Raw genomic sequence first — 23,975 nt, 5'->3', positions numbered from 1 at the left:
TATGTCTGTGCCAGGGGCCAGAGGAGGGATTCTGTGAGGTGGGTTTGGAGCATGCAAAGGAAGAGCCTGGCTGCATCCCCACCATGGTACATAGACAAAGGGAAAGGAGAGGCTCCCAGGTAATGTCCTGGCTTGGGGCCTGGGGCTCAGAGTTGGGAGATGATGTGAATACATAGGAATGATGACTGAGATGAAGCCATGTCCACTCCTGGTGTCAGAGTTTCACTGTGACGCTGCCTAGGAAGAGGAGGGGGGCTTGAGGAGGCCTGATTTGCTGAGTACAGGGGCTTGCAGGCTCCAGGAGTATCAGAGGTGCAAGTGGTAGGCTCCAAGGCCTGAGGAGGCCTCCAGAGGGCAGAGAAGGGGACCCTTCTTCCCCACTCATCCCCTGTATGGAGGTCCAGAGTGATGCCTGCCAGTATGAATTTGCTCATCCCTCAGCAAACATGGAGTGTGGCCCTGGGCAGAAGGGAAACCAAGGAAGGAACTGACAGGCCTGCCCAGGGCAGGGGTGTTCGCACTGCAGGACAGGATTGGAGCTGAGTGCCAGGTAAGGGGTGAAGCCCCGTCTGTGGAGAGGGGGCATGCAGAGCAGGGGGCTCTCCAAAGCCCAGAAGTCCTGATCCACTTTTAACCCCCAGAACCAGAAGACTGTCCTTCAGCTGTTTCACATCCCTTATTCAAGGCCACCTAGGGCCCAGAAGAGGAGGGATTGGGGTGAGCCCAGCCCCCTCCCCGCAGAGCTGGTCCAACTAGCTTTGCCTGACTCTCACATTGGCCTTATCAGCCCAGGAGGCCTGGGTGGCTTCCTGGGAGGCCCTCTGGGGGCTCTCTGACACCAAGAGCCCAGTTTTCCCAAGGGACTCTCCAAAGGGGTGGTGGGCAACAGGATCTAGGGACCCTCCCAGGGTCTGTGGTGGGAGGGGTCTCTGGGCAACCTATAAAGGGGGTTTTCTGGGTCCCAAGAGTTAGGGGGTGGGTCTGCATAGGGACCTTGCCCAGACAGCCCCTTGGGAGGCCACCTGAAGAAGGGACCCTGGGGATCCTCCCCCTCGGCTGCATGGATCGCTGGGGTTTTGGGATATGAGTGGCTCAAAAGTGAAATCCGTGCACCTGCTTGCTTCCCCCTCCCACACCCCCAACACTCCACCAAAGGCACTCTTGGGGTTAGAAACCTCCCAGCGAGAGGGAAGGGGACCCTCCTCCCGACAAGGTCCAGGTATTGCTCTCTGAAGACCTTCTAATCGTGTCCGTGCACCCATTTCGCAGAAGGGAATGCGAACGCTGGGAGCTGCGGCTGGAAGCCTGGACGCCGCGTCTCCCTAGCGCAGCAGCCCGGCTGGGCGTCGGACCTTACACGATCCCTTCCCCGGGATGACGCCGGATTCTTTCCAGCATCACCCCGACCCCAGCGAGGCGCCCACAACAGGGCGTGGGGCCCGGCCGCCCGCGGTAATGACAGGGCCCGCGGCCCGTGGGTGGCGGCGGCGGAGGAAGCTGGAGGAATCTGGCTATTTCTGGTCGGGGCGCGCCCGCTGGCCCGGGCCAGGGTTGGCCAGTCCTCCGGGCCCCCAGCTCTGCCCTCCCTCTCGCGTCCCCAGAAGGGGGCGGGGAGAGACGAGGGTTGGCGGGCTCAGGGGGCGGGGGCGCAGGGCAGCGGGGGCGGGGCGGTGTCCCGGGACCACCCCCGGCCTCCTCCCACCGCGGTCCATTCAGGTCCCTGCACCGCACTCCGCTCGGACCCCAGGCCGCCGGTGCTGTCGCTACTCAAGTGAGTCCCGCGGTGCCCCTCCCGCCGCGCCGCCCGTCGGGCATGGACTCGGGCCGGGACTTCCTGACCCTGCACGGTGAGTGCCTGGCCCGCGCGAGCGGGAGACCCTGCAGGGGTGGACCCCTGGAAAGCTGTTCCGGGCCCTGGACAGGGAGCCCCCAGCTCCTTCGGCCGCCTCCACACCACCCCGGGCCCGCCTCTCTGCCCCTTCTCCGGACTGGGAAAATCTCAGCCCGCGGCTCCCTGGGTGGGACTGCCGGGCACGACCCTGGGCGTTTCCAGGCTTGTCCGAGATCTAGCCCGGGGGGTGGGTGGGCGGGCGGTACGGGTCTAAAGACTTCCCTCCGCCTCGCGGACCCCCTTGTCCTGGTCATGAAAGTCTGGGCTCCACGATCCCGCTCGCACGGAGGGGCGGCGAAGGAAGGAAACAGCATCCAAGAACGACCAAAATTCTCCTTGCCCCATCCGGGCCGCCCCAGAGGCTCCCCAAAGCCTGGGCGTGCCTGGACCGCGTCAGGCCGCGCGGGTGTGGCGGAGCAGGGGCTAAGCGGGTGGGGAGAGGAGGTGTGCAAGGTTAACCGTGGTCGGGCCGTGCAGCCTTAACTGCCCAGCGCAGAATAGTCAGCGATGCTCAGGCTGAAAGAAGCAGCACGATCCCCTCATCTGCGACCCTCCTCGGGGGACAGGGCCAGGTCTCAGCCGGAGCTGCCTGCTCCATCCTTTGTCCAGCGGAGCTTTGTTTCCTCCAATATGAGCCAGCTCTTTGCCCTTTCGCTGTCCCTCCAGCAGCGAGGGGAGCCTGGGCTCCCGAAGGCAGATCTGGAGGCCTTCTGGGAGGCGGGAGGTTGGGGAGGGTAACTTTGGGCGCCTCTTTGCTCCAGGACAGGCACTCACTCACTCTTGGTGGGGGCTTGCCCTCCTGCCCTCCCAGGTCACTTGCCATCTCAGCAAACCCTGCTCCTTTCATACCAATCACTGCTTTACTGTATATCCCTCTCTTTTTTAGTACCCTTGGGGTTGGAGGCTTTAGTGGCCACCACCCATCCATCTAAACTGTTCATGGACATAATAGATGGGAAAGAGAAGGGCAGAGTCCTCTAGCCTTCCACTAGAGTCCCCCTGGAATTTAGAGGGACTTAGAGATGTTCCCATCAGCCAGCCTCCAGTCTATCTCGTGTTCTGCAGTTGGCACAGACCTGGTCCTCCTGGCCCAGAGAGACCTTGCTCTGTGCCCAGAGCTGTTGCTTTTACACCAATAGCCTAGGCTCCTTAAAGCCACCTTGTCTAGATGAGTCATGGAGTCCCTGCCCCTTCCAGTGCTCCCTCTTCTTTCTTCAGGCCAGAGGTGTCTTTCGTGCGCCTGCCAGACTAGCAAGAAGGGAGGCTGGGCAGCTGAGAGGACACAGTGGACATCTCTGCTTTCTCTCTGACACAGCGTCATTCCTTGGCTCCTGTTGGAACAGGCTTCATCCTCAGTGTCTGTGCCTTTGTCCAGTTTCTCTCCTGAGGCAGCCTTGATATCTTTTCCATGGAGGAAGACACATGGAGGCTCAGTCAGGACCTCCCAGTCCTGTGGCATAGGCTTGGCTGCCCTGGCCCACCCCATTTGAGACCAGCCTCCCAAATGCCTAACTCAGTCCAGCCTTTCCTGAAGGGTTGACATGAACACTGTGACCCCAAGCTGTTTTCCCTGAAGGCCCTGCCACTTCTAGCTCATCACCCAAAATTACCTCAACTGCCTTCTGTCCACACTGCAAACCAGATGGGGAAATAAGAACCTGTCAAGGAGAATTGTTGGTGGGAGGGGGTGATCACTGTGCCCTGTGCTGTTCCAGGTTGTCTACACTTGCATTGGAGAGTCTGCATCCGTTTCACAGTGTGGGTGCCCCAGCACTGGATGTGCTGCAGGACCACACTCTCTGGCCTAGGGCTCCACACTCTCTGGAAGGAGCCCAGAGGGACTCCTTCTGTTGGCCTGGGGAGCTATGCGGCTCACCTAGATGTGACATGTCCCTTCTGTCCTCACCCCAGATGCATGCAGAAGTAATGTAGTTTACTGGCATAGATTCTGAAAGCAAAGTACCTGAGTTCAAGTCTTGGCTTTCTCATCTCAGATGAATCCCTTGACTTCCCTGTGTGTCAGTTTCCTCATCTGTAAAATGGGGGATAATACCATCTACCTCATAGGGTTGCTACGAAGATTGAATGAGATAATATCTACACAGCAGTTAGAACAGTGCCTGGTACCCAGTGAGTACTATGTTCCTGCAGGAGGCCCCCTCCCCAAATTTCTATGCCCTATGAGTTGCCATCTGTAGTTCTTTGGGAGATGATGGGGGCATCATAAGGTAGTTCCTAGTCATGGAAAATAGGGCCAGAACTAGATTCAAGAGCGAGCCAGCCAGCTCTTTCTAGTGCCTCTGAAGCCCTCAGACTGATGCGACAGCATCCATCCTCCTTCCTTCACCTTACTTCTTCCACTCTTTATTCTGGCTATGCCTGGACTGGCTTCTCTAGCAGGTCCCCCGATGTGCCCCAAAGGACATTACCTCCCAGGGCCCTCCCCTCACTGAACACCCCCCACATACACACTAACTTTTCCTACACCCAATCCCTTTTGCCCCCACCCCTGCAAGAGGTGCCGTTTGTAAAAACAGAAAATAGAGGGGCCTCATCTTGGCCCCAGTAGACCTGGGCTCCAGTCCTAGCTTTGGTTCTACTTACTGTGGGTCTGAGAATCATCCATGGGATAGCAGTACATATTTCACAGTGGGTGTTGTGAACATAAACGCCAATGGGCATAGAAATTCTAGGTTGCCCCAAAAACCAGTCCTCCAAGAGATGATGATTCCAGAGCTCTTAGCAAGTTGGGGTGGCCAGCTCCTCACTCACCTGTGTTCCAAAGCAGTCTGCCCCTGGGCTTCCAGGCCCATGCTACACAGGCACACACTGATCCACACCAATCTTAACTTTTTGTGCCACAGACCACTTTGGCAGTCAGGTGAAGCCTGTAGACCCCTTCTCAGGATTATGTTTTTATTTATTTATTTGTTTATTTATTTATGAGACAGAATCTCACTGTCACCCAGGCTGGAGTGCAGTTTGCGCCATCTCGGCTTACCGAAACCTCCACCTCCCGGGTTCAAGGGATTGTCTTGCCTCAGCCTCCCAAGTAGCTGGGATTACAGGTGCCGGCCGCCACGCCCGGCTAATTTTTGTATTTTTAGCAGAGACGGGGTGTCTCCATGTTGGCCAGGCTGGTCTCGAACTCCTGACCTTAAGTGATCCTCCTACCTTGGCCTCCCAAAGTGCTGGGATTACAGGTGTGAGCCACTGCGCCCGGCCAGGATCATGTTTTTAAATACAGAAAATAAAATACATAAGAATTCAAAGGAAGCCAATTATTTTGAGATGTTATTCTATCTACAGGTTCTTGAGGGGTCTTTGGTCTGGTTAAGAACCCCTGCGCAGTTTCTCCATAACACAGGCTCCCTTTGCACTCTGCTTCCCCTCTCCAAAGAATAGCTTTTCCGTGTTCATATTTCAGCTCATCTACCTTGTCCATCTACTCACCTTGCTCATGATTTATTCTCTCTGATATGACCTTAGGCAAGTTACTCTGCGCTTCAGTTTCTTGTTATTACTGCTGTGCTTGTCTGTGCCAATAACTGGCTTTGCCAGTGACTCACTGTCAATGCTGGTGACTGGAGCTGCAGTGAAGCGAACTGGGGGAACTATTCAGAGGCTGAGAGTAAGAGTCAGGCCTCTGGGTGGTGTCCTGACATTGGCACACAGTAGGGGCTCAATAAATAATTACTGGGTGAATGAAAGGGAAGTTGTGATGTACATGAAAGGACCCACTGTTCCCGAGCATATTGGCAGCAAAGTTTTGTGCAAAGTTACAGTCGTTCTCATGTATTTATGAAAGCCACCCTGGGTTAATGGGCTTATTTTAAGATCAGAATTTTTTCAAGAATTTCGTTTGCATCCGTCACCTTGGGGATTATCACTTTGGTGGTCAAACCGAGAGAAGCAAACAGGCCCACCTGAGGTTCACAAATGAGGCAACAGCAAGCTGAGTCGCAATGAATTAGTTGAGCAATTGAAGTAAAATACTTGGGGGGGGCTCGGTGTCTGGCCCAGGCTCCATCCCCGGTCCCGCCTGATCTCGCCCCACTCAGGTCCCCGCTAGACTGCCATCCACCTCCCACTGGGACTCCCCTCAGCTTTTCTCCCCAGACTCAGCCCTTCGGTTCTGCGCCAGCCTCAAAGGTGGCGTTAGAATTCGCCGCTCCGGCTCCTTGGTCAGACCCCGCCCACACTGCCTCCCGGACCCTGGCTCCGCCCCCGCACCGCCTCCAAAGCCGAGGGACCGCCCCTCCCTGCCTGGACACCGCCCTTCCAGTGCGGGATCCTCCCAGGCTCGCCTCCTGGGCCCTGGCCCCGCCCCCGGGCTGCTTCCTGGGTATGGCTCTGCCTCCACGTCGCCTCTGGAGCAGAGGCTCCCGGCCTGAGCTCCGCCTCTGAGCCTGGCCCCTCCTTCGCCCCGCTGCCTTGGCTCTGGCCCCGCCCCCAGGCTTCGACACAGATTTGCTTCCTGGGTTATGGATTTGTCCCACTCCGCCTCCGCGGGGCCCGGCACCTCCTCGGCCCCGCCTCCTGGGTTCTGGATCCACCCCCATCCCCACCCACGCCTCGACACCACTCTCGCCCCATCTCCAGGGGTCGTTAGTCCCACCCCTCTTGGATGGCCCAGCCTTTTGGGGTCTGACTCTGCCCTCCTTAGCCCAGATTTTCTTCTCGTCCCGCCTCCTGTATTCTGACTCCCCCCACTCATTTACTTTGCCTCGGTTTCGCTCTCGCCTCACCTTCAGGGGGCATAGGTCCCGCCGCTCGTGGACTAGCTCCGCCTCCTAGCGTCTGACTACCCCCTCAGCCCAGATTTCCCTCTCGTCCCGCCCCTCCGAAGTGCGCCCCTCCTCTCGAACTCTAGCTCCTCCCTCCCATTCCTGGACTCCGCCCCTGCTCCCCTCCAAGGGCGACAGTTCCGCCCCCCGGACCAGAGCAGAGGGTGTTGTGAGCATAAAACACTGGAGGCGGCACTGCCCCGGACCCGGCTCCGCGCAGGCAGGGGCACTGTGGAGGGCCATGCAGTGCCTGGGGATCCGGAGCCGGAGCCGCTCCAGGGAGCTCTACCTGCAGGAGCGGAGCCTTAAGGTGGCGGCGCTCAATGGACGGAGGCTGGGTAAGGGGCGCAGAGCACTCCGAGATCTGCGGGGGAATGGGAAGGCAGCTGGAGCAGGACGCCGACCACTTGTCCCTTAACGCGGGGCCATTTGCCTTGGAGCCTTTAATTGGACATGTTTAGTACTTCTGTGAGTGTGTGGCCCACTGTGGGGCAGTGTTTGCAGTGGTAGCACGTCGGGGTGAGTACTAGGGTGATTAGTTACCCCTTCTCATTATTTAACTCAGCCCTTCCAACGCTCCCCATCCCTTGTCACCCGACGCCTTCCTGTTTACAAATTTCTGAGGCACCGTGTATGTGGCCTGGTCTGTGTAACCAATGAGGTGATCTGCAAGAGTTTGTGCTTCAATATGATCCTGTGCAAAAGTGTGCCTGTATGTGATGGGTGTGACAGTGGTGATCTAGTATGGGACCCAGTGCCGACTGAGTAGTTCTGTCATGCCTGGGGTCTGTGGTGGGGCCACTGTACAGTGTGTAATGATGGTGATGGTGTGTAATGTTGTGAAACAAAGTGTGTGACATTGTGGCACTGAGGTGGCTGCTTGTAACCCAGTGTGACAGCGTGTGATCTGTTGTGATACTGTTCAACTGAGTGTGACTGTATAACCAATGTGACAGTGGGTGACCTAGGGTGACTGAGTGGTTCTGTCATTCCATTATGGTGTGTGTGTTATATGGATTTTCTGATGTTCTTACTCTGTGGCAGTATGTCCCTTCACAGTGGCTGCGTAAAGTTTCATACCGCTGACCCTGTGGGTAAGCTACCTGCTTCTGAGTCCTGACTCCACCATGCAACTTCCTTGAGCCTCAGTTTCCTCTTGTGTAAAACAGGAATAATGACAGTGCCTTCCTCAGAGGGTTATTGAGAGAATTAAGTGCATGTGCTAAGAACAGTATCTTATTTAAATATTAACTATTATTATGGGAGCCTCTATCATCATCATCATGATGCTCTGGCACTATATGTTGTGTGGCTATGCATGACTAAGTGTGACACTGTGCAACTCCCTGTGACAGTGTGTAATTTTGGGGGGCAGTGTGTCATTGTGTGTGGCTCATTGTCTCTTTGAGGTTGTGTGAGTGGTGGTCTAGTGTGTGACTGTGTATTTGTGTGGCCATATCTGTGTAGCTGTGTATCGCTGTGGGTCCCAGGCCCAGTGTGTCTTTATTATGCATCACCCTTGGTATAGGAACAGGACTCCTGGCACCTCCCTCAGCTTCCCACTGGCACCTGCAACACCCTGTATGCCCCACCACATGGCCACCTCACTGTGCACAGCTAGCCTGGGCAGGCTGCAAGGTCAACCCAGGGTCAGCTCAAAGTCTCCTCGCCACGACCCTCCCACAGGAGGAGAAGCTCTTAGATTGATGCAAAAGTAATCACAGTTTTTGCTATTGAAAGTTTTTGCTATTACTTTCAATAGCAAAAACCGTGATTACTTTTGCACCAAACTAATATTATGACTGGGTTGAGTAGGGCTGGGTGAGGGGTGCCACAGACTTTCTGGGTGCTAAGGGAGCAAGGGTGGTGGGGCAGGAAGTCCAGAAGCTTTGGGAACAGAAGGGCCCCAAATGAGGCTAAGAGATGAGGGCACCTGCCCAGGTTTCCTAATGGTCCAGAGGGCTGTGGCTATCACCTTTCTGGAATTATCACCCTGGAACTGATGTCCACCTTTTAGAAACCATTGTTGGCAGCTGGGGGTTTATCTCTGCCTGACTGTAGATAGGGCCACAGCCTGGCTCCAGGACAGGATGAGCATGTCATCTCTTCATGGTGTTTTCCAGAACAGGAGGGTGGTGCTCAACTTCTACTTCCTGGCTCCCAGCTCCATTCCCATACATGCTGTTGGCAGTGGCTTGCCCTGATGTATGCCCAGCTTGTGGGGTGGGGTGCTGGCAGAGGGTAAGGAGATGTCCCTCTCAGCTTTAGAGGGACATCAGCCTTAGAAGGGATAGTGGAATTCCCCGCCGGAGGCCGGAGGTGGCCCTGTCCTCTGGCAGCCTGGGAACTCCCTTCTGCCTCCTCTTGTCTCAGGCTCCTCAGACACAGCCAGTAGTTGGGAATATTCTATCAGAGCCCCCTTCTTTTCCACTGGGACTCCCCTTGGGCTAAGAGGGAGCTGCTCACGCTAAGGCACAACAGCTCATCAAGTGGGTGGACAGACCTGGGAGAAAGGTGGAGGAAGGTCACATCAGACTGTCACCCCTGAGGAGGCCCAGGGATGCCTCCCCTACACTGTTCTTAGCCCAGTGCTGATGGGGGAACAAAAGCAGAGAGAGGGAAGGGAGTTGCCTAAAGCTATAGGGGGTGGATGTTAGCACTGACCTCTATCCTGATTGGAAGCAGGAGACTGGGGAAGGATAAAGAGTGTGTGAGCAACTGAAGCCTGGGGAAGTGGTCCAGAGGGTTCTGTGAGCCCTGAAGATATGTGGGACAGGCTGGCTGGGGGAGGGGGTATGGATAAAATGGGAGAGGCCATCTGTTGTTGGGGATCTGGGCTCAGAAAAGAAAAGGCCTGTGGCTTCATGAGGGCTTCCCCACATAGGCTTAGGCTCAAGACCCTCAGACTAGACCCTTGAAGTCCCTGAGGCTGCCACTGTGCTGGAGCAGCAGGACAGAGATTGCTGATGGGCCACATAGTTCTAGGGAGAGAAGTGAAGTGGCCGATTGGCTCTCAATAGAGCTGGCTGCTGGACTATGTACGTGGCTAGGGTGATACACGCACACATACGCCCTTATAGATGTTTCTGTATTACACCAGTGGGTTACTAAGGGTTGGGGTCACTTTTATCAACTTTATCAGTTGGTACAGAACCTGCTGGGTGGTGAAGGCTCTGGCGTCCTTTTGGTGCCTCCTGTCTGGGCCTGGTAGGACTGAGGGCATCGCATCTTTGGGAGCCCACACCTCTGAGAGCAGCAAAAGAGTGGGGCAGGACTGGGGCAAGCAGCCAGGTTCCTCTCTCTGGGCTCTGGGACAGGACCTGCTCAGCTTCGGAAAGGGATGCACTGTGCCTTAAAGCTGCTGTATCCTGAGGGGTCCCAGACCCTGGGCACTCTGAGATGGGGCTGGGGCAGCGAAGGACAGGGCCATCCCAGCAGACCAAACACAGGCTACAGTGCACTCATCTGTCTCTTCTTGGGGCAAAGATCAGAGATCACTCATGTGGGCTCAAGTCAGAGGTGGGGGGGACAGCAAGGGTAAGGGTGGCAGAGATGGGCATAGGGGTCCCACAGCAACCACAATGTTGACACCAAGAACCCCAACTGCCATTATCTTGGGGCCTGCACAGATTCAGGCATCATCTCATTGAACCTAGAACTTCCCTTTGAGGTGGTTGCTGTTATTATCTCCATTTCATAGACAGGAAAGCAGAGGCCCAGCAGCATGAAGTCCCTTGCCCAGGTCACACAGCTTGTTGGGAAGGGCACCTGAACCTAGGCACAAATGATTCTGGAGCTATTGGAGTTGGGACGTTGTTTGGCTCCATGACGCTCTGGGGTCCATCTGTGTCTGTCCCCCTTTTATCTCCCTGCTTTGCCTAACCTTTTGATCCCAGCTTCCTTCAGTTCACTCTGACTCCTAAGTGTGACCAGGAGGGGCTCACCTAATCTTTCAAAACCATCTTTCAGAACATTTCTTAGGGGGCTGGTCCTCTAGGAACCAGGGGTTCTTGAATTAGCTGCCTTTCTTTTGTTCATTCAGCTGTGGGTGGCACGTCACAGTGTGTAAGTATGGTCTTGGGTGGGCAGGTGTCCCGTTTGCATGGTCACCTTAGCTGGCAATCAGGGATGACTTCCTGGAGGAGGGCAGGCTCTGGGAGCAGGTTGGAGCATGGGTGGAGGAGGGAGGAGTAAACAGAGCTGAGGATGAGGCTGGTGAAAAGTGGGCTCTGAGAGGGTCGAGGTGGGCATGGCCAGTGTGAGGCCTAGGGCATCAGGGAAACTAGTGGAGAAGGTGGCATCTTACTGGCTTTGATCCCCAGGCCTACAGGATGATGAGGATCTACAGGCGCTGCTGAAGGGCAGCCAGCTCCTGAAGGTGAAGTCCAGCTCATGGAGGAGAGAGCGCTTCTACAAGTTGCAGGAGGACTGCAAGACCATCTGGCAGGAGTCCCGCAAGGTCATGCGGACCCCGGAGTCCCAGCTGTGTGAGTGCCCTGGGGTCACAGGGGAGGGGATAGAGTGTGGAATCTGCTCAGGGCTGGGTAAATACAAAGGTCAGTCATGGATCAAAACCACAGATGGGGAAACTGAGGCCTGGCCTGGTGGGGCATAGGTCATTTATATAACCTGGGCTGGCAGTGGGGAAACTGAGGCTGGCTGGGGTTGGGGAGCAGGGCCAGTTAAATTGCCATCGGGAAATTGAAGCCTAGTCTGGACTGGAGAGGGCAGTCATGGAACGAGGACCGCAGATGGAGATGGCAAAGCTTTTGAGGGATGGGGATACTTAACCATGACCACAGATGGGGACAGCCAGGCTCAGAAGCAGGGAGGGAGTTGGACGGTGGCCCAAGGTCCAGGCAGATAAGGTACTTCCGGGGTTGAGTGGCCAGGTGGGAGCTAGGGCTGCAGGAGGCAGCTCCTCCCTGGGACTGGAGCCACAGGAGGGGTGTTAGGGCAGAGCAGGACTGGGACACACAGACAGAGGCCACTGCTGGGGAGCCCTTGTGGGTCTGAGGGCATTCTGGAAGCTTCTAAAAAGACCAAGGAACCCAAGTCTCAGGCCACAAATGGAGAGAGCCTCCTGCAAGGCCTCAGGGAGAAGAAAGCTCTGCTCACTTCACTCAGTTCTCTCCCTTTAAGGGAGAGAATTCCCTAAAGATCCTGTAAAGTGAGATGTCTCCCTCTATGCCTTTACTTGGTGGGGAAATTTTAGACCGATGCTGTACAGTTGAACAATGATGGAAATGTTCTATATCTGCACTGTCCAGCATGGGAGCCACTAGCCACTTGTGGCTATTGATTGAGACCTTGAAATGTGGCTAGTGTGACTGCCGAACTGAATTCTCAATCTTATTTAATTTTAACTAATTTATATTTAAATAGCCCCAGGTGGCTAGTGGCTGCTGAATTGGACAGTGCATATAGATCATTGCAGCCTGGGTTTCACATAGCCAGGCCCCTGGAGATCCCTCGCCCATTCTCCTGCCATTGGCTGAGGTGTGGGTGGGGAGATGGGGGCAGGTCTATGGGGAGTGAGACTGGACATGGGTGATAAGCGCAGGTAGGAGGAGAGCATAAGGAAGGGGAGGATCACCCCACCGAGGGTGCCTTTCACCCAGGAAGGGTCTGCCTTGCCTCAGGACACTGGACAGGACCCTGAGAAGGTATGGCCTGCCAACCTGTGGCCAGTGGAGGGGCTGAAGGTAAGGCAGGACAGGAGCAGGGCCAGTTGCAGAGAGCCGGCTGGGTCCTTGGGGCTGTGAGCCATGGAAGATTTCTGGGCAGGGCAGGGTCTGAGGGGTAGGGGCTCCAGAACATTCTGAGGAAACCACACGGAGCCCCAGCTCAGCCTGCTGCCACACTGTACAGGAGTGACCGCCTGACCTTTTCTCTGTGGCGCCAGACAGGCTCCTTCATGGGGCTCTTGCCCTGATATGGGATTTCCTGTTAGATGCTGGTGGGTGGGAGCACAGTGAGAATGGGGATCTTATACTCTGAGCCCTGGGGATTCCCTGGAGCCCACCTACCTACCGATACGTATGGATGACTCCCAGTGTGTGCCTAGCTCTTGGGAAGCATGAGAGGGGAGATAGAGGAGTGGAAGACCCAGGCCTTTCCCCGCAGGAACCACATTTGAGCTGGCGAGAGGAGGACCTTGTATTGGGACAGCTGTGAGCAGATGGGCAGGAAGGACATTGCAGGCAGGAGGCCCAGTGTGAGCCAAGGTGCAGGGTGAGGAGGAGGAACAGGCATGAGTGGGAGGCTGAGGGGCTGCGTCCTGCCAGGAGGAGGGGCTGCAGGGAGCCAGGTCCAGGGTCAGGGAGCCAGGTGTGCGCAGGTATGGAGCAAGGCCTGAGGGGGCTTTCTGCTGGTCAGACGCCTGAGACGGGTCTCGTGCTGAGCCTGCTTTGTTGGCTGCCTCCCTTCTCTGGGTGAGTGGTGAGACTGTTGTCTTCAATTGCTCTTTAACCTGGAAAACAGAGGCCAGGTGAGGGAGGCCTGGAATAGCCTCCCCTTCTGCCCAGTTTTCTTTAGCTCTGCTTCCTGCTTTTTAAGTCTCCCCAATCCTGCCACTACTACCCACCCCCATGACTCTGGTTCCCAGAGGCCAAAGGTGTTATCAGCAGTGAAGGCATCTGGACTTTCTCTCTGTGTGGGTGAGGGCGCTGGCCTTGGGTGGGGGTCCCATGGCTCAGGCTTCCTGTTTTCATTCCTGACCCAGGCAGCTGCAGCTGCACCCTGTGTGCGGCCGTGTGGGTCACCAGGGGCTGCAGGCAGAGGGATTAAGCCGTGCTATCCTCTGTCCCCCACATGGCCCTGGGCTCATGTGTCCCACTCCTCAAAGCCTGCAGCCCAGGCTGGCACATGTTACATCTGTGGGCCCTGCAGGTGGCTAGGAGGCCCCTGGGCACTCAGAGTGGGTGGGCACAGGGAGGGACAGGTGGACTTCAGCTAGAACCGTCTAGGAGCCAGGACAGATGGATGAGGATGGCTCAGGATGGAGGTATGGCAGGGGCAGAGCCTGGATCCTGCTGCTGGGAGGCACAGCATGAGCCTGACTGGAAGAACTGGCTCCTGGCCAGGCCATGGAGGGCACATTGGAAGCGGGGGTAGACAGGGCCTGGCATCTCCCTGAAGCTTGGAAGGCTGGGTGTGAGGGGAGGGCCCTCCCCTTGGCTCCCCTAAGGGCAGAATGATGTAATCTCTCAGAACCCTGCAGGAGACCCTCCAGTTTGCCTCTTGGGACTGGGGAAGGCAGAGTCTTCCTGTACCCCCTGCCAAGGGGCTCCCTGAAGTCAGGACACACACAGCTGCACACAGGGCACGACCCTGTCTCCTCTCCCATGCAGGGCTTCTCCCTCTGTCTTCGGCCCTCTGCCCATAGACCCCAGGGCTGGGGCTAACTGAGGGTGGTTCCAGTCTCTTGAATGTTCAGGAGAGGGGCCTGGTGGCTCTTGTGGCTTTATCGGGTCAGGACAGACCCAAAGTCCAATACAGTCAGAAGGGTGCATGGCCCTTCTCTGTCATGGGCCCCACACTCCAGAGTGGTCTGTCCGCATCTCTAAGAGCCTTGCCCTGCTCCAGTCCTCTCCCTGGGGCCCTGCACCCCCCATCACCGAGAGAGCAGGCCTGGGGTCCCAGGTGCCTTTTCCGCCCTAAAGTCTGTCTTTCTCTCACTCTCTGTCTCTCCCTGTGTGTCTCCACTGTGCCTGCAATGACTGTGTCTCATGCTCTGTCTCCCCCTCAGTTTCTGTCTTCCTTTCTCCTTTTTGTCCCCCACTTGTCCAACCTCCTGCCCCTCTCCTTTCCTTCTGGACTCAAGGCCTGAGCTCCGGCCCTGGCTCTGTGTCTCCAAGCCATGCCCCTCTCTACTGTGGCCTTGGCCATGTCAGGGTCAGGGACTGACCTCACAGCATTCTCTCCCTCTCTCCTCCACCATCCCCCTCTCGCAGTCTCCATCGAGGACATTCAGGAGGTGCGAATGGGGCACCGCACGGAGGGTCTGGAGAAGTTCGCCCGTGATGTGCCCGAGGACCGCTGCTTCTCCATTGTCTTCAAGGACCAGCGCAATACACTAGACCTCATCGCCCCATCGCCAGCTGATGCCCAGCACTGGGTGCTGGGGCTGCACAAGATCATCCACCACTCAGGCTCCATGGACCAGCGTCAGAAGCTACAGCAGTATCCTTTTGGTGGCAGTGGGTCCAGGCCTGGCTTGTGGACACTGGCTGTGGTTATCCCCAGGGCAACTTGGGTATGGAAGCTGGTTTAGGTACTTTGGGCTGCCATAACAAAATATCATAGGTGGCTTAAACAGCATAATTTATTTTCTCACAGTGTGGAGGCTGGAAGTCCAAGGTCAGGGAGCCAGTATGGTCAGAGCCTGGTGAGGGCTCTCTCCTTTGCTGGCAGATGACTGTCTTCTTGCTGTGTCCTCACATGGTGGGGAGAGAGAGACTAGGTTCTCTGCCATCTCTTCTTGTAAGGGCACTAATCCCAGCGCGGGTGCCCCACCCTCATGACCTCATCTCAACCAAGTTATCTTCCAAAGGCCTTATCTCCAAATATCATCACGTTGGGCATTAGGGCTTCAACATATAAATTTTGGTGAGTTGGGGGGTGGGGTATACAATTCAGAAGGGAAGGAGGGAAGATACATGAAGCCCTCTTTGGTCTAGTCTGACCAGAGCCCAAATAGCTCTGCTGCTCCCTGATACTCCCTGTGTCCCCGTCTGTCACCAGCATGGAGTTGGGGGTCTGGGGAGCCTGAGGGGAGCAGCCTGCTGCAATGGGAGACCAGTCTTGGATGTTTTAATCATGTTTTCTAGAGTTACCACACGATTTCCCTCTGGGAGTTGGGAGGCCATGGTACCCTCCTGTGCCATTCTTTGGGGAGTGATCAAGTTCCCCTGGGCCTGGTGTGTAGGCCAGCCTGTGAGCTCAAAACAAATTAACTTCAACATTTAGTTACACAATGACACACTGGTTTATGATTCGAAGTGGTCGGGCTTCTGGCATGTATGGATTAGGGTGGAGCCAGCTCTCTCCATTTTTTATGGCAGCTTTATTGAGGTGTAATTCACATACCATATAATTAACCCTTTTAAAGTGTTGAACCTGATTCAGTGCTTTTTAGTATATTCACAGAATTGTGCAGCCATCATCACAATCAATTTTAGCACATTTCCATCACCCCAGAAAGAAACACTGTACCCCTTAGCAGTCAGTCCCCATTTCACCTCAACCCCCAGCCCTAGACAGCCACTAATCTACTTTCTGCCTCTATACACTTTCCTGTTCTGGGCATGTTACAGAAACGGAATCATGGAGTCTTTTGTGACTGGCTTCTTTCATTTAGCGTGATGTTTGCAATATTCATCCATGTTGTAGCCTGTGTCAGTACTTCATTCCTTCCAATTGTCTAGTAATATGCTACTGTATGGATAGACCACATGTATCTCTTCACCAGATGATGGACATTTAGATTGTTTCCACTTTGGGGCTTTTATGAAGAATGCTGATATTAACATTCGTGTATAAGTTTTGGTGTGTATATATGTTTTCATTTCTCTTGGAGTAGAATCGCTGGGTCATATGGTAACTATGTTTAACCTTTTGAGAAACTGCCAAACTGTTTTCCAAACAGGCTGCATCAATTTACATTCCCACCAGCAGTATACGAGGGTTTCAGTTTTCCATGTCCTTGACACTACATTTGTCTTGATTATAGACACCCTGTGGGTATGAAGTGGTATCTCATTGTGATTTTGATTTGCATTTCCCTAATGATTAGTGATATTGAGCATTTTTCCATGTACGTTTATATATCTTCTTTGGAGAAATATCTATTCAGGTCCTTTGCCCATTTTTTGGATCATTTGTCTTTATTATTGAGTTGTAAGAGCTCTTTATATATTATAGATACAAGTCTTTTATGAGATTTATGCTTGCAAATAATTTCTCCATTCTGTGGGTTGTCTTTTCTCTTTCTTGATGGGTTTTTTTAGGCTAGAAAAGTGAAACAGTGAGAGTGGAGAAGGAACAAAGAAATCTGGAACTGCTTGTGATCAATTAGTTGTAAACACCCCTGCACTCAGATCAGCCTCTTGATATTCTTTGAAGCACAAAAGTTTTTGGTTTTGATGAAGTGTAATTCATATACTTTATTTCTTTTGTTGTTTATTTTTTTTGGCATCATATTCACGAAAGCTTTGCCTAATCCAAAATTCTGGGATTACAGCAGTGAGCCACTGCGCTGGGCCTGAGTTCTCAATTTTATTCTGTTTGTCTATATGTCTGTCCTTGCACCACTACCACAATATTTTGCTTTCTGTAACTTTGTAGTAAGTTTTGAAATAAGGAAATGTGAGTTCTCTAAATTTGTTTCTGTTTTTTTTTTCAATATTGCTTTAGCTATTCTGGGTCCCTTGAATTTCTATACGAATTTTAGGATTAGCCTGTCAATTTCTGCAAAGAAGCCAGCAAGATTTTGATAGGGATTATATTGAATGTATAGATCAATTTGGAGCATATTCCCAGTATAATAATGTCAAGTCTTCTGATCCATGAACATGTAATTCTTTCCATTTATTTATGTCTTCTTTCATTTTTTTTCAACAGTGCCTTATGGTTTTCCAGGTTTTGCACTTAAACAATTTCTTTAAAAGCATTTTATTCACTTTGCTGCTACTGTAAATGGAAATGTTTTCTTAATTTCACTTTCAAATTTTTCATTGCTGGTGTATGTCCACTCCTTAGGGGACACATTTTGAGCCCTGTTAATTTCCTTTTCTGTGTGCTTTTGAGCATTTGAAAGACTTTTAAGTGTTATTTCTCAATGGCACATCTGCCTGATTGTGAGCTTTTTAAAAAGCCCAATTCTATGGCATTTTTGTCATAATCCCACCTTTGGCAGAGCCTTGACCTTGGACAGTCTCATGCCCTCTGCAGAGTCCTGCTGCCTAGACCTTAAGATCATAAAGCCATTCTAATTTATAGTGCATACACTCAGTGGAACATTATACAGTCATTAAAGCTGTTTATGGAGACTACACTAACACAGGGAAATAATTATGATATAATGTTACACAGAAAATGGACTACAAATGTATGATTTCCATTATTTTTGGCAGATGCATCATTAGGAAAATTAAAATCCGGGCGGGGCGCAGTGGCTCACGCCTGTAATCCCAGCACTTTGGGAGGCCGAGGCAGGTGGATCACCAGGTCAGGAGATCGAGACCATCCTGGCTAACACGGTGAAACCCCGTCTCTACTAAAAAATACAAAAAATTAGCCGGGCGTGGTGGTGGGCGCCTGTAGTCCCAGCTACTTGGGAGGTTGAGGCAGGAGAATGGCGTGATCCCGGGAGGCGGAGCTTGCAGTGAGCCAAGATTGCGCCACTGCACTCCAGCCTGGGTGACAGAGCTAGACTCCGTCTCAGGAAAAAAAAAAAAAAAAAAAGAAAATTAAAATCCAGAAAGGCTGGGCTCGGCGGCTCACACCTCTAGTCCTAGCACTTTGGGAGGCTGAGGCAGGTGGATCGCTTGAGCTTAGGAGTTCGAGACTAGTCTGGGCAACGTGGCAAAACCCCATCTCTCCAAAAAATACAAAAATTAGCCAGGCATAGTGACATGCACCTGTAGTTCCAGCTACTTAGCAGACTGAGGTGGGAAGATTGTTTGAGGCTGCAGTGGGCCATAATCATGCCACTGCACTCAAGCCTGGGCAACAGAGCGAGACCCTGTCTCAAAAAACCAAATAAATAAATAAATTGCAGAAAAAAATATTAGGAGGAAAATGCAAATATCAGAAGCTTCTGGAGGAGGTAGGTAGATCTTTAAAACTTCATTATAGGCCGGGTGCCGTGGCTCACACGTGTAATCCCCGCACTTTGGGAGGCCAAGGCGGGTGGATCACTTGAGGTGAGGAGTTCAAGACCAGCATAGCCAACATGCTGAAACCCCGTCTCAACTAAAAATACAAAAATTAGCTGGGCATGGTAGCATACGCCTGTAATCCCAGCTCCTCAGGAGGCTAGGGCAGGAGAATTGCTTGAATCCAGAGGGCAGAGGTTGCAGTGAGCCGAGATCGCGCCAGTGTACTCTAGCCTGGGCAACAGAGCAAGACTCCGTCTCCAAAAAAAAAAAAAAAAACTTCATTCTAACATATATATGTTTTCCAAATTGTATATATATGGGTATAGATGTGGAAAAGAATAATTATGACAGAAAGCCAGGTGAAAAAAGTCAAGTTTAGAATGGTCCAGCCAAGCACGAGATTCGTGTGCTGAAGGCTATTCAGCAGGTGGAATATCCATTTCTTTAGTGTTGGATATTTATTATTATATATTATATGTTGAAAACCAGTCCAGATGGCTCATATCTGTAATCCCAGCACTTTGGGAGGTCAAAGCAGGAGGATTGCTTGGGCCTAGGAGTTTGAGACTAGCCTGGGCAACATAGGGAGACCCTGTCTCTACCCAAAAAAAAAAAAAAAAGCCAGGCGTGGTGGTGCGGTGCACACCTGTAGTGGGAGGATCACTTGAGCCTGAGAGGTCTAGGCTGCAATGAGCTGTGATTGTGCCACTGCACTCTAATCTGGGCGACAGAGTGAGATCTTGTCAAAAAAAAAAAAAAAAGAAAAGGAAAACCAGAAGGATATACTTTGGAATGTTGATAGTATTTATCCCTAGGTGATAGACTACGGGAGATTTGTTTGATTGTTTACTTTTCTGCATTTTCTAAATTGTCTACAGTGGGCCCTTTTGTAGTAAGAAAAGAAATGTTTTAAAAATTTTGAAAGGTTTGAAAACCAGCAAATAGAAAAAGACCCCTTAACATTTTCCTCTGAAGAGGCCACTGAAACATGGATGTGTAGTAAGTCAGGCCTGCAGGGAGCTGTGGCTATAGGTGGCTTCAGCTGGAGCCATCCATGGCTCTGGCTGGGACCTTGGTAGGTTCCAGGGTTCCTGGGTTCTTTCCTTACTTCTTGCCCAGCTGGATTCACTCCTGCTTGCGAAAAGCTGACAAAAACAAGGACAACAAGATGAGCTTCAAGGAGCTGCAGAACTTCCTGAAGGAGCTCAACATCCAGGTGGACGACAGCTATGCCCGGAAGATCTTCAGGGTGAGGCAGGAAGTGGGGGCTGGGGCTGCCTGTCCATGGGGCCCTTGACCCCGGCCCAAGGCCTGCTCTGAGCCCACTCGGCTGTCCTGGCTCTGCAGGAGTGTGACCACTCCCAGACAGACTCCCTGGAGGACGAGGAGATTGAGGCCTTCTACAAGATGCTGACCCAGCGGGTGGAGATCGACCGCACCTTCGCCGAGGCCGCGGGCTCAGGGGAGACTCTGTCGGTGGATCAGTTAGTGACGTTCCTGCAGCACCAGCAGCGGGAGGAGGCGGCAGGGCCTGCGCTGGCCCTCTCCCTCATTGAGCGCTACGAGCCCAGCGAGACTGGTGAGAGCCTGACCAGGGCCTGCTACCTGCAGTCGCAGGGCCGCACTGGGCTGGGAGACCCCTGGGGAGACTGCAGCCAGAAAGAAGGGAACCGGAGGGAAGGGGCTGCCTCAGCCAGCCCCGGGGCCCTGCTCCACACTTTCTGGTCCTATGAAAGCCGGCAGATGAGAGACAGGGCTCTGGCATCCCTACCCTTCTCTGGTCCTGTTTCCCTCTTGGCACCTCCTTCAGGGGGCTTTGAGGACCCCTTCTTCAAGAAACAAGAGAGATGGCTGAAAAGCAGATGCTACTCCTGCTTCTTTTTTTTTTACTCATTCTTGGCCCAGCTTTGAGATGTGATAGAGCAGAGAAGATGGGTCCCTGCCCTGGAGGGGGCTCCAGTCTGGAGGTACAGAGAACGGGGAGATGACACCCTGTCCTCAGGGGTCTTAGAGTGTGCAGACAGGGGAGGAGGAGGAGACAGGGCCCCACTCTGGAGTAGCCACAGTCTGGTCGAGAGCCTCAGACTTATCCTAATTCCAAGAGCTCTGGAAGACTGGCTCAGGACAGGCAGGCAAGCGGGTTCAGAGGGCTCCTCTGTCCAGATGGGTGGGCAGCCAGGAGCGCCTGCTGGAGGCTGGCTCTGACGGGCAGTGGCCTCCTCCCTCCCAGCCAAGGCGCAGCGGCAGATGACCAAGGACGGCTTCCTCATGTACTTACTGTCGGCTGACGGCAGCGCCTTCAGCCTGGCACACCGCCGTGTCTACCAGGACATGGGCCAGCCACTTAGCCACTACCTGGTGTCCTCTTCACACAACACCTACCTGCTGGAGGACCAGCTAGCCGGGCCCAGCAGCACTGAAGCCTACATCCGGTGCTGCTCAGGGAGCCTTGGGTCGGGAGTCTGGGTGGGACCCGGGACAGGACCTGGAGGGTCCTAGCCACCACCCTCCCCGCAGGGCACTGTGCAAAGGCTGCCGATGCCTGGAGCTTGACTGCTGGGACGGGCCCAACCAGGAACCAATCATCTACCACGGCTATACTTTCACTTCCAAGATCCTCTTCTGCGATGTGCTCAGGGCCATCCGGGACTATGCCTTCAAGGTGGGAGTGCCCCTGGCAGGTGAGGAGTGGGATGCTAGGGGTGGCCCACCACTCCTAATGTGCCCTTGGGCCTCCAGGCGTCCCCCTACCCTGTCATCCTATCCCTGGAGAACCACTGCACACTGGAGCAGCAGCGCGTGATGGCGCGGCACCTGCATGCCATCCTGGGCCCCATGCTGTTGAACCGACCACTGGATGGGGTCACCAACAGCCTGCCCTCCCCTGAGGTGTGTGGTGGGGATGGGGGATCCCTGGGGGAGGGTGGGGAGCCTAGCCGGGGCGCTAGGTGTGTCTTGACCAGTTGCCCCTCCCCACCTAGCAACTGAAGGGGAAGATCCTGCTGAAGGGGAAGAAGCTCGGGGGGCTCCTGCCCCCTGGAGGGGAGGGTGGCCCTGAGGCCACTGTGGTGTCAGACGAAGACGAGGCTGCTGAGATGGAGGATGAGGCAGTGAGGAGCCGTGTGCAGCACAAGCCCAAGGTTTGAGGGGGAGCTGTGGGGTGGGGCAGCCCGGGCCTTCCCCATCCCCTCACCCGTGGGAGGTCTGCCTTGTCTCAGTTCTCTGTGGCTGCCACTCAGACCCTCTGCCCCGCTCTCTCTGTCTGTCTCCCTCTGTCTCTCTGCGCCTGGGTTTCTGGCTTTCTCAGTGCCTACCCTACCCCAACCACTGAATCTAACCCGGGCCTCCCCGTGTTCCCCAGGAGGACAAGCTCAGGCTAGCACAGGAGCTCTCTGACATGGTCATTTACTGCAAGAGTGTCCACTTTGGGGGCTTCTCCAGTCCTGGCACCCCTGGACAGGCCTTCTACGAGATGGCGTCCTTCTCTGAGAACCGTGCCCTTCGACTGCTCCAAGAATCAGGTGAGGCCTGGCTCCCCACCACTCCCCTGCTCTGTTACAGAGAGAATTGGCAGGGCAGGGCTTGGGCCTCACCAGGAGGCCTCCACTGCTGACCGAACCACACCTCCCCTCAGGAAACGGCTTTGTCCGCCACAACGTGGGGCACCTGAGCAGAATCTACCCGGCTGGATGGAGAACAGACTCCTCCAACTACAGCCCCGTGGAGATGTGGAATGGGGGCTGCCAGATCGGTATGGGCTGGCTGGGGCTGGAGGAGGCCTGGAGGAGGGTTTCAGTCCCAAGGCCGGGGGCCTGGAGCCTCGAAGGCCATGCAGTGGAGCTCTGAGGACCCAAGCAGGGTCAAATGCAGGGGCTTGTGGAGCTGGTAATATCAGTCTGGAAATATCTGCCCACCAGCATGTCACAGTGTCTGAAACCTCATTAGCACACTAGTCCTTTGAATTCTCACACCAGGAATGGAAGGTGTGGTTAGCATGGTGGGTCACTGAGGGTGGCAGGAGGGCAGCAGGCATTGGAGTGATGCTGGGCCCTGCTAACTCACCATGTGACCCTAGGCCTTAGTGTACCCTGAGCAGGCTGTGCTCTAGGGCCCCAGGGCCAGCCCACAGCCTGTGACTGCTCTGTCCTGCCTGTAGTGGCCCTGAATTTCCAGACACCTGGGCCAGAGATGGACGTGTACCAGGGCCGCTTCCAGGACAACGGGGCCTGTGGGTACGTGCTGAAGCCCGCCTTCCTGCGAGACCCCAACGGCACCTTTAACCCCCGCGCCCTGGCTCAGGGGCCCTGGTGGGCACGGAAGCGGCTCAACATCAGGGTACGCTGGACCTAGGAGGGACAGGTGCCCACGGACCTCCCTTCCCCGCTACCACTCCTGAACTGTCCATTGTCCTCTGCCTTTCCTCAGGTCATTTCGGGGCAGCAGCTGCCAAAAGTCAACAAGAATAAGAATTCAATTGTGGACCCCAAAGTGACAGTGGAGATCCATGGCGTGAGCCGGGACGTGGCCAGCCGCCAGACTGCTGTCATCACCAACAATGGTAGGTGCTGGGCCTGGGCTGGGCTACTAGGGCTGGTGTCCATGCTGCTGATATGGTGCCTGTCCCCCTAGGTTTCAACCCATGGTGGGACACGGAGTTTGCGTTTGAGGTAGTTGTGCCTGACCTTGCCCTCATCCGCTTCTTGGTGGAAGATTATGATGCCTCCTCCAAGAATGACTTCATTGGCCAGAGTACCATCCCCTTGAACAGCCTCAAGCAAGGTGAGTGTCAAGAGAAGGGGATGGCCAAGGTGGTGGGAAGCAGGGCCTGGCGTCTCTTGGGCTGGGGCTGGCTGTCCCTTGACGCATCCACCCCCCCTCCGCCGCCGAATGACCAGAACTCTCTCTGTGTTCCCTCCTGCCTGTCCACCCACCAGGATACCGCCATGTCCACCTCATGTCTAAGAACGGGGACCAGCATCCATCAGCCACCCTCTTTGTGAAGATCTCCCTCCAGGACTAGGCTGGAGGAAGCCAGTGGGGTCCCCCCTGAGTGGGCTGGGCCCTCTGTCCACATGTGGGGACAGGGCTGGTGTGGCTGCTCCCAGCCTCTTGCTCAGAGCTAGGCCCCCAAATTGCCTTCAGCCCTAACATAGTGTCTGCTGCTGCCTCCCTGGGGACCAGGAGCTAGCCCAGTCCCTGGAGCTGTCCTTCATTCCGTTAGGAATAACACTGCAGCCCTCTCCACCCTCCGGCCAGCGAGTGGTCAAGGATTTTTATAAAAATCACGATAAGATTAAGCCTTGTGGTCTCTTTACCTGGATGCCAGAAAAATCCCCTGTGAAGCGTGTGTGTGTGTGTGTGTGTGTGTGTGTGTGTGTGTGTGTGTGTGTGTCCCCATGTCCTAGAGTGCTGGAG

General features: G+C 54.5%; 1 protein-coding gene across 3 annotated transcripts, besides 4 other annotated features; it reads left to right on the top strand.

Moving 5' to 3' along the window:
* On the top strand, positions 1,711-23,857 carry PLCD1 (phospholipase C delta 1). Of its 3 annotated transcripts, none has more exons than NM_006225.4 (15): positions 1,711-1,847; positions 11,001-11,165; positions 14,634-14,862; positions 19,680-19,809; positions 19,908-20,139; positions 20,791-20,992; positions 21,078-21,222; positions 21,300-21,449; positions 21,542-21,700; positions 21,922-22,081; positions 22,195-22,311; positions 22,717-22,895; positions 22,986-23,118; positions 23,190-23,339; positions 23,495-23,857. In NM_006225.4, exons 1-15 carry the CDS (start codon positions 1,814-1,816, stop codon positions 23,578-23,580), a joined length of 2,271 nt encoding a protein of 756 aa, NP_006216.2. In that variant the 5' UTR covers positions 1,711-1,813; the 3' UTR covers positions 23,581-23,857. The 3 variants fall into 3 exon arrangements, 2 of the variants coding, with proteins under 2 accessions (NP_006216.2, NP_001124436.1); NM_001130964.2 differs by lacking the exon at positions 1,711-1,847 and adding an exon at positions 6,833-7,016; NR_024071.2 differs by lacking the exon at positions 1,711-1,847 and adding an exon at positions 6,833-7,016 and having other exon boundaries at positions 21,078-21,449.
* Positions 6,069-6,408: a silencer, noted in NCBI's record as "silent region_14204". NCBI's record gives its function as "represses an Ori minimal core promoter by ATAC-STARR-seq in GM12878 lymphoblastoid cells {active_cell/tissue: GM12878}" and the evidence as "EXISTENCE:reporter gene assay evidence [ECO:0000049][PMID:35858748]".
* Positions 6,429-6,518: a silencer, noted in NCBI's record as "silent region_14203". NCBI's record gives its function as "represses an Ori minimal core promoter by ATAC-STARR-seq in GM12878 lymphoblastoid cells {active_cell/tissue: GM12878}" and the evidence as "EXISTENCE:reporter gene assay evidence [ECO:0000049][PMID:35858748]".
* Positions 6,609-6,668: a silencer, noted in NCBI's record as "silent region_14202". NCBI's record gives its function as "represses an Ori minimal core promoter by ATAC-STARR-seq in GM12878 lymphoblastoid cells {active_cell/tissue: GM12878}" and the evidence as "EXISTENCE:reporter gene assay evidence [ECO:0000049][PMID:35858748]".
* Positions 21,371-22,121: an enhancer, noted in NCBI's record as "H3K4me1 hESC enhancer chr3:38050723-38051473 (GRCh37/hg19 assembly coordinates)". NCBI's record gives its function as "activates a minimal SCP1, AML or CMV promoter by ChIP-STARR-seq in naive H9 embryonic stem cells {active_cell/tissue: H9 hESC(naive)}" and the evidence as "EXISTENCE:reporter gene assay evidence [ECO:0000049][PMID:30033119]".

Source organism: Homo sapiens, chromosome 3 (genome assembly GCF_000001405.40).
Source record: "Homo sapiens chromosome 3, GRCh38.p14 Primary Assembly".
Lineage (NCBI taxonomy): Eukaryota > Metazoa > Chordata > Mammalia > Primates > Hominidae > Homo > Homo sapiens.
Note: the sequence above shows the minus strand (reverse complement) of the source record. Positions and strands in the feature narration are given on the sequence as shown.

Excerpts from the sequence above, each read along its gene's own strand:
- PLCD1 (NM_001130964.2), top strand. The coding sequence starts at position 6,920 with ATGCAGTGCCTGGGGATCCGGAGCCGGAGCCGCTCCAGGGAGCTCTAC. Across the intron at positions 19,810-19,907 it reads ATGCCCGGAAGATCTTCAGG|GAGTGTGACCACTCCCAGAC; the intron begins GTGAGGCAGGAA and ends CTGGCTCTGCAG. Across the intron at positions 21,450-21,541 it reads ACAGCCTGCCCTCCCCTGAG|CAACTGAAGGGGAAGATCCT; the intron begins GTGTGTGGTGGG and ends CTCCCCACCTAG.